The 9,360-nt window shown below is 39.2% G+C and overlaps 1 annotated feature.

Moving 5' to 3' along the window:
* Positions 7,597-8,796: an enhancer, noted in NCBI's record as "P300/CBP strongly-dependent group 1 enhancer chr2:119671170-119672369 (GRCh37/hg19 assembly coordinates)". NCBI's record gives its function as "activates an origin of replication core promoter dependent on BRD2, BRD4, P300/CBP, MED14 and CDK7 cofactors, with strong dependence on P300/CBP, by STARR-seq in HCT116 cells {active_cell/tissue: HCT116}" and the evidence as "EXISTENCE:reporter gene assay evidence [ECO:0000049][PMID:35650434]".

Below are 9,360 nucleotides of genomic sequence, written 5' to 3'. Positions count from 1 at the left end.
TCTGGGGCAGTAATGCCGACACATTGATGTTTTATCAGCAATATATAATAGATTTCTTCTGACATCAGAGTTTCATCAGGGATGACCTTAACCTTGGCAAACTCATCAATGAATTTCTCTCCTGCTTTGTGATCAGCAGATGCTTTGTCACCACAAACTTTAAAATTAATGCCATGTCTTTTCTTAGATTTCTGAAACCAGCCTGTTGAATATTCACAGCTCTCTTCAATTTGCAGTTCATTGTGATAGATCTTTGCTCTTTTATGATCAGCATACCTTTCAGAGGCACGTGTTCACTGTGATGCTGATGAATCTAATCTTTCAATACATGATCAAGATCTTCCTTTTTAGCTTTATGCAGTGTTTTTCAATGTTTCATTAACTTCTGTTGATCACTATAGAGCTTCAGCAGTTTATCCTTCTGTTTCTTCGGGTCACATATGGGGGCCATTCCAACGTCATACTCTTCTGTAAGACATTTCACACTTACACTGCCTTCCAAGTTCTCCAACAGCTTGATTTTCTGTGTTACAGATAAATATAAATGCTTCCTCTTATTCTTATCGCTAAGCTACCCATAGGGGTATCTGTGTGGTTTTCAACACCACAATTATCTTTACACCACAGAGCAGAGATGAATGAAAAAAACACAGAGTAATGCACACAGGTCTTGGCCCCGCGTGGGGCTTTGTGGGAACCTGCTTTGGTGCGTCCGGCCTGCAGTGCCATTTTATTTTCCTTTGTGGATGTGCTTGTGTCAGGGAATTTAGGCAGGCATGGAAAAGTTACATCGCAGCTGAAGGGGGCTGAGAGGTCTTTCTTCCCTTGGGAATGCCACTTAAACTGTGTGTTGTGTGCCTGCATTTTCACTGTGACCTGACACATGAGGTCAGGTGTGGAATTTTCCACTTGTGTTATGTCAGTTTTCAAAAGTTTTGGATTTTGGAGCATTTTGGGTTTGGAGTTTTGGGATTAGGGATTTTCAGCCTGTACATGCATGTAGATTACAACAGAAAAATTGATAAGGTACTGATATCTGAAAGGGAGGCATCTGCTGCCTTACTCTCCCTCCCCAGAGGCAATCATTTCCAAACTCGTCTGTTTCTTTTGGTTCATTACCTCTTTCTTTTATGTAGGTTTATGCTGCTATTTTTGATTTACCTGTTTTAGAACAGAATCTTCCATTACAAGCATGACTTCTTGTTATGGAAGATGAGGCATAGCTTTCTTCTACTGCCATCTCTTATTTCTCCCACTCCTGCTCTCCCAACACTTAGCGAATGATTTGTAAATTTATAGGTAGTGCTTAAATCGTCATGACTATATATATATATACACACACACACAGCTGAGCCAAGTCATCTACCATAATTGTCTTTCCTTTCTGGTATGATTTTTGTTTTTTTAAATTAATACTTGGCTTTTTTCCACATTGTTTTCATTTTCTGTGAATTCATCCTTAAGTTTTTCCAAATGTCCCATAAAATGTTTAAGTAACAAATATTAGTTTTCAAATCATCAGATATATTCAGTACTCTAATAATTCCACTTTTCTTGGAGAACTCCCTCCTGAAGTTTTCAGTCAAATAATTTTCTATACTGCTTGAATTTTTGTATCATGTGCTTATATTACCTTAAAAATACTAAATAAAGGTTTAAAGCAACTTCATTGAGGTATGATTGACACACAATAGACTGCATATATTTAAAGTATACAGTTTGAGATGTTTTGACATATGTATACACCTGTGATATAATCACCACAATCAAGATACCCATTACCCTGAAAAGTTTCCTTGGGCCCCTTTGTAGTGTCTCCATCCTGACCCCATCCCCAAGTAACCACTCATCTGCTTTCTATTATTACAGATTAGTTTGTATTTTCTAGGGTTTATATAAATGTAATCATATAGAATGTAGTCCGTTTGTCAGGCTTCTTTCACTCAGCATAATTATTTTGAGACATATTCATCTCGTTGCTTGTATCAATAGCCCTTTCTTTTTATTACTTAGTAGTATTTCATTGTATGGATATACCACAATTTGTTTATCTATTCACCTGTTAATGGAATTTGGGTTGTTTTCAGTTTTTGGCTATTACAAATAAAGCTGTTTTGAAAGAACATGTGTACAAGCCTTTGTATGAAAACATTTATTTGCTTTTCTCTTGGGTAAATACCTAGGAGTGAATATCACATGGTAGGTTTATGGTCAACTTTTCAAAAAATTGCCAAACTGTTTTTCAAAATAATTGTACCATTTTACATTCCAATTGGTAGTGTATGAAAGCTCCAGTTCCTACACATTTTTGCCAACACATGTCTCATGGTGACTTTTAAAAATCTGAGCCATTCTGTTAGGTATGCAATGTTATTTCTTTATAGCTTTAGTTTGCATTTTCTTAATGACTAATAATATTTATTTATTTATGTATAGTTACTTGTATTTTATTACTACAAGTCCCTTATCAGATACACAGTTTGCAAAGATTTTTCTCTCAGACTTGGCTTGCTTTTTTTTTCTTTTGTGAGACAGAGTCTTGTGATTCTCCCATCTCAGCCTCCTGAGTAGCTGGCATTACAGGGGCACATCACCACATCCAGCTAATTTTTAGTAGAGATGGGGTTTTGCCATGTTGCCCAGGCTGGTCTTGAACTCTTGGTCTCAAGTGATCCATCAGCCTCAGCACCCCTAAGGGCTGGTATTACAGCCATGCACCACCGTGTCTAGCCCTTGATTTGTTTTTTTCATTCTCTTGAGATTGTTAAAAGAGAAAAAAATTTAAAGGAAAAACTATATGGTTGTCTCAGATGCAACAAAAAACATGCGACATAATCCAACATCAATTACTGATAAAGGCCCTCAACAAATCTGTAACAGAAAGGAATTTTTTAACCTGATAAAAGGTATTATAAAAGTCCTTAAATTAAGTATTATATTTAATGATGAAAGACTGAATGCTTTTCTCCTATTATAAGGCAAAAATAAATAAATAAATAAAAGAATCTCAGTTGGAAAGAAAAACTGATTCTGTCTTTATTCACAAGCAACATAATCATATACATAGAAAGTTCAATGGAATCTACACAAATGTTTCTAGAACTAAAGAGTAAGTTTAGCAGGGGCACAGAATACAAGAGAATATAGAAAACTCAATTTTCTATATGCTAGTAATAAGCAATCACTAAAATTATTTAAAATTATACAATGCACAGTAGTATTATAACTATGAAATACTTAGGGATAAGTCTGAGAAGAGATGTAGAAAGCCTATAGATAAAAATCAGTAAAACATTTTTGAAAGAAATTAAATAAGACCTAAGTAAGCAGAGAGGTATACCATCATCATGGATCAGAAAACTCAAGGTAGTTAAGATGTTATTTCTCCTCAGACTGATTTGTAGATTCATTGCAATCTCAAACAAAATTGATAAGCAAATTCTTAAATTTATATAGAAAAGTCAAGGGCCTAGAGTAGCCAAAATAAACTTGAAATGAAGGACCAAGTTGGAGGACTTACATTTACTGACTTTAAGACTCATTTTAAAGCTAATCAAGACATTGCAGTATTTGCAATTTGGCAAAGTGTTCACATATTTTTCTCATTCTACATTGAGTTTTTGCTTTTTTATTACTTAGTTTTGAGAGTTGTTTATATACCGTAGACACAAGTCCTTTATCAGCTATGTGATGTCCAAATATTTTCTTTCAGTTTATGATTTGTATTTTCACTCTCTTACGAGTGGCTTTTGATGAGTATGTTCTTATTTTTGAAATTCAATTTATTTATTTATTTTTCTTTTATGTGTCGTGCTTTTGGTGTTCTATTTTTAAATTCTTTGACTAACCCAAGGTCACAAAGATTTTCTCCTATGGTTTCTTCTATAAGTTTTATAGCTTTAGATTTTCAATTAAGGTCTATGATCCATTTGGAGAAATTGAGAAGTCTGAGGCCCTTTCTAGGGATTCTGACCTAAGACCCAGGCAATCTTTAAGGTCACTGAGCTTGACTAACTTTTGATAGTGGTGTGTGGACTACAGTGTGTTCAGTTGCAAGTATCAGAACACCTATCTTAAATTGGCTTACACAACAGGGGAGCCATTGGTGCTTTAGTTGTAAGTTCAAAGTGAGGATGGCCTATAGGGTTGGTTTAGTTCAGTAGCTCAATGATGCCACCAATTGTTCAATCTTTCTGCTGCCAGCTATATCCTGATTTGGGTTCTTTTGGGAGTTGAAGGTTGCTAATGCCTCCTCACTGCCTAGAAAGAGTGATGGACTCGTATCCAGAAGCCCCCATCACACTCCAACTTGGACCACATGTCCAACTCTGAGTGTTTATCTGTGGCCAGGGGTGGTAGAAGGATTGTCATGGTTACTGTAGGTGTGAGCCACATGCCTCACTGCCAGAAGCAAGGGAAAGCAGCTTTTCCCAAAGCACATGGACAATGCAGGCAAGGTGGGGACGCTGAAGGGTCAATTGAGGGAAGAGTGAAGGGATGTTGAGAAAGCCATCTCAATGGCTATTTCAGGTGCATTTAGGGGCAGAGAAGGGGATGATTTTAGTGATATCTTATATGTAAAATGATTAACAATTTTATAGAAATTACCATTATTTGCAGATTTGTGATTACTTACCTGGAAAGCTCAAAAGAATCAACTGAAATAATAATAAAAACATAAAGAAAATCCTGTAAGATGGCTGGTAGCAAAATTAATATGCAACTGTAGCTTTCTTTATAGAAACAACTATCAATTAGGATAGATAATACACATAAGAAAATACCTCATTAAGACTGCAAAGAGATGAAATACCTGGAAATAAATGTAACGAAAATGTGTTAAGACTCAGCCCAACATGGTGGCTCATGCCTGTAATCTCAGCACTTTGGGCAGCCAAGGTGGGAGGATTGTTTGCGGTCAGTAGTTCAAGGCCAGCTTGAGCAACGTAGTGAGAGCCCATTTCTAACAAATAATTTTTTAAAATTAGCTGGGCATGATGGCTTGCACCAGTAATCCCAGCTACTTGGGAAGCTGAGGTGGGGGCATCATTTGATTCCAGGAGTTTGAGTCTATGGTGAGCTGTGATTGCACCACTGCCCTCCAGCCTAGGTGACAGAGTGAGACTCTGTCTCTAAAAACAAACGAACAAAATCTTAAGACTCCATGTGAAAAAAAACAACTTGTAAATTCTACTGAAGTATATTTTTAAGAGACATGAATGAATGTCTTCAATAATGATATTCAATGTTATAACAACATCAATTGTCCCTAAATGAATCTATAAATTGAATGCAAGTTCAATAAAAACACTAACAGAATTTTTTTGAGAGGAGAAAATTAGATACAATTTTCTTCTGAAATTTATGTGCAAAAAAAAAAAAAAAAAAAAAAAAAAAAGGCAAGAATAGCCTCGAAAGTGAAAATGAAGAGTTATGGAGGGGGAACTATCTTACAATATATTATAAAGTACTATAAAGGTACTGTAACTGAGTTTTCTCTTATCTACCTATCACTAAGTAACAGCAATGGAAGAGAAGAGAGAATCCACAAATATGAAAATAAACATTAAAATTCAAGGTGTAGAATAAGGTAGGCTTTATACCAGAAAAGATAGATTATTTAATAAATTATGTTGGGACAACTGGTTAGGAACTCCTTACCAAAAAAGTAAATGCTGATGAATCAGATATATAGCATTAAAATAAAAAGTGGGAAATACCTGAAGGAAAGGTGGTATGTTTTAGTTTATTTTTTGCATTCTGGAATGGGGAAGAATTTTCCAAGCAACACCAAAACATAGAAGCTATCAGTTTGACTACATGAGAGATAGCTGTATGGGGAGAACATACTGTAAGCAAAGTTTTAATTTAAGAGGATAAGACGCCAGGTGCGGTGGCTCACGCCTGTAATCCCAGCACTTTGGGAGGCTGAGGCGGGTGGATCACGAGATCAGGAGTTCAAGACCAGCCTGGCCAAGATGGTGAAACCCCATCTCTACTAAAAATACAAAAATTAGCTGGGTATTATGGCAGGTGCCTGTCATCCCAGCTACTAGGGAGGCTGAGACAGAAAATTGCTTGAACCCAGGAGGTGGAGGTTGCAGTGAGCTGAGATCACACCACTGCACTCCAGCCTGGGTGACAGAGCGAGACTCCATCTCAAAAAAAAAGAGGGTAAGACAAAAAAAAACGGTTAAAACACATTTCACAAAGGGCTGATGTTCTTAATATGTTAAGAGTCCACAAACAAATGAAAATACTACAAGGAGAACGGACAAAGCACATAAACAGGGAGTCTAAAGCATCGGAAGTGGGTTATAAACAAACGATAATGCAAGTTAGTGTTTCTTTTTTTAAATCGGTCAGATTGGAAAAAATAATAAAAGCTTGAAAAAATATTACTGGCAAAAGTATCAGGAGAATAGGCATTCTCATGCAAAATTGATGGCAATGTAAATCATCTCTTCCTTTGAAGAACAATTTGGCCATATCTGTGAATATAGCTGTCTTTTGGTTCAGTGAGTCCTCTTATAAGCATTTATTTCATAGGTATTCTTATAGATGTGGTCAAGGATGTTCATGGAGGCAGAGTTTGTAAGGAAAACACTAGAAAAACATTGAATGTTTCTTAATAGGAAGCCAGTTAAATAAATTATGATCCATTCATACAACGGAGCCTTATTATAACCCAGTAATGTTTTTGAAGTATCACCCCATGTAATTTCTGTCTTTCTAATTCTCTCTCTTTTTTTCCATTTTCTTTCCCTGACCCTGGGCCATCAAGTCTAGTCCGGAATCCTTGGGCTTGTGCAAAGTGCTTGCTGTCACATCAGGGTGCGGGAAGGTTGGATTGGCTTAGAACAGGGAAGTCTTTTTCCGTTTTGATTTCTGGACCTTGTAAGGTTCAGAATGAGCACACACTCTTGAAAGTTCAACATTTCCAGAAGTAGAAAGTGGGTGCATCTCACAACTCCCAAAGCTGGATTTTCATATTTCAAGAACCAAAGTTTGGAGGGCAGGCCACAGAGTTATTGACAATAAAATGACATAAAGTGATCGACTAAGGGGTGGCCCTTCCTAGTGCTAAAGGAGCAGCCAGCCAGGAGGTGCTGGAAGGAGGGAGTGGTTGAGCAGAGTGAGTGTTCAGAGGCGCACTCCCCTTGCGGTGTACCAAGACAGGAATGTGGGAAATTGGACCAGGCAGGGGCTCTTGTGCTGCTTTTCCAGGAAACTACTACGGGGAGATGAGCCTTCAGCTTAATGTCATGGCTCACCTGGTTAAGCAGCAAAAGGGGGCCACATAGGAGAGGCAGGTGGACCTGAGGGCATATCTCAATAAGATGTGGCAAAGGCACTGGGAGTTCTGGGGCACCAAGGAGCTATGAATGCACCAGGGGACTAGACCGAAGCACTAGGAGAAGCTTGGACTTAGAATAAAAGGCCACCGAGGGCAGAATCTTGATTCTGAAAGCCTTTGCAATCTCTGAGGTCAACGACAGAGGCTGCCAGCACTTCGTGGGACCAGTCACATCTCAGTGGATACCAGTGCAGGTGCTCCGGGCCAGCAGCTGATCACACTGCAGCAGATGATACAAAAAAATAAATGTCTAATTTGCATTGCCTGCTCACACAAGAGACACAAGAAACTGATGGCAGTGGTTATTCCCCAGAAAAAAGGCTTAAGGGATTGAGGATGTGAGAATGTCCAGGCACGCTCACAGTACTGTGTGAGCTCCCCAAGAGAAGGGTCTGCATTGCCCCCATCGGACTAGGCACTCACCAAGGTTAAGGCCCGTGGCTCTCCTATCAGACTAGGGGTTCTGCAAAGGCTGGGAATACACTTTCCCCAGCAGGTGCAGGATCTGAGGGCTTCCTGATTGTGCCCATAAGGGCCTTAGGGATGGCCTTATTGAGTCCTGCCCCTCTGACCACTGTTCAGCTCCTCCCCAGACTTTAGCAAACTTGTGTTGAAGAAAATGGGAGATGAACTGAACAGGAGCTGAGAGACGGCTGAAGAGGTGGCCCTGAGAAGTAGATTTCACATGCTTTGTAGAAAGGACAGTCCCAGTTTATACCTGTCATTGTGCCTGTTGTTCCAGTGTGATGATTAATAGTGTCCTCTTTTACTCTCAAGAGTGACCCTGTTTTGATGATAAATCATGTCATCACTATTTCTAGATCTCTGAGGGAGTGTCTCCCTCAGTTCCCAGAAGGGAGAGTCAAGACCCAAATTCCTCAGCCCTACATCAGCAATCACAGATTAATCATCTCCTGTAAGTCTCATGGGAATGCATCAGACATGTCCTGGGACTTAGGGAGGCAGGGACAGACACTACCAGTTGGGAATTGTTGCATGCACAACAAATGTTCCAAGAGCCCCAGAACTTCCCCTATTCAGCTTCCTCCTGGCTTTTCCCTCAGATGGAAACAAGATGATTGCAACAATGATAAAAATAACAGTAGCTACTTATTGTTTGGAACTCTCAAAATGTCACCACTTCCCTTAGAAAGCTCCCTGACCAGTATGGGGAAATGACTTTCACTCTGCTCATGGGACAGCCCAGTCCTGTGGGCAATGCATAGCTACAATCCTTTTAAGAAGAAGCAGGGACCCCTCTTAGGCACCTGCCATTCTCCCCACCCCACCCCTCATGTACGGAAATAAAGAAAACATATTGAATCCCTTCAAGGGAAATTCCAGGCATCTAGCTAGCCTTGAGAAGAAAATGAACAACACAATAAGAAAGAAGAGAGTAGTAGTAGCTTAAACAATAGCCACCCAAGTAAGCCTGAGTCATGAGATATTTGCTTCCCCATAGAAACAAAAAGATAACACCTTAGCATATGTTCTTGAGTTTTCTTTTAGAAACCAGGACTCCCGCTAGATGAAAATTGCCAACTGCTGTCACACAGACATCAGATAAGGGGGAGCTGAGGACTGAACTCTGACCACTGTTTTTTGTTCTAAATTTCTTCCTGAGAGACACAGAGAGAGTCAAGCCTACAGGCCATCAATCTTGCTAAGCTGGTCACTCTGGTCCAGTATATTGCAGCTTGCTTGCATGACCTGACTCTGGCATAGCACGTGATAATTTATGGGTTTCTTTATCCTAACTAACCTATGTTAAGGCCAAGCCTTAACATTCCTTTCTACTGACCCCAAGCTTTCAGATAAACTCTTGCTCCCTTAACCAACTGCAATTCAATGAATCTCTGAATTTACTCATGACCTATAAGCCCTACTTGAAGATATTCCAGGCCGGATGTGCTGGTTTATGCCTGTAATCCCAGCACTTTGGGAGGCCGAGGTGGGTGGATCACCTGAGGTCAGGAGTTCGAGACCAGCCTGGCCAACATGGT

Source organism: Homo sapiens, chromosome 2 (assembly GCF_000001405.40).
Source record: "Homo sapiens chromosome 2, GRCh38.p14 Primary Assembly".
NCBI classification, from domain to species: domain Eukaryota; kingdom Metazoa; phylum Chordata; class Mammalia; order Primates; family Hominidae; genus Homo; species Homo sapiens.
This window is presented reverse-complemented; position numbering and strand designations above follow the sequence as displayed.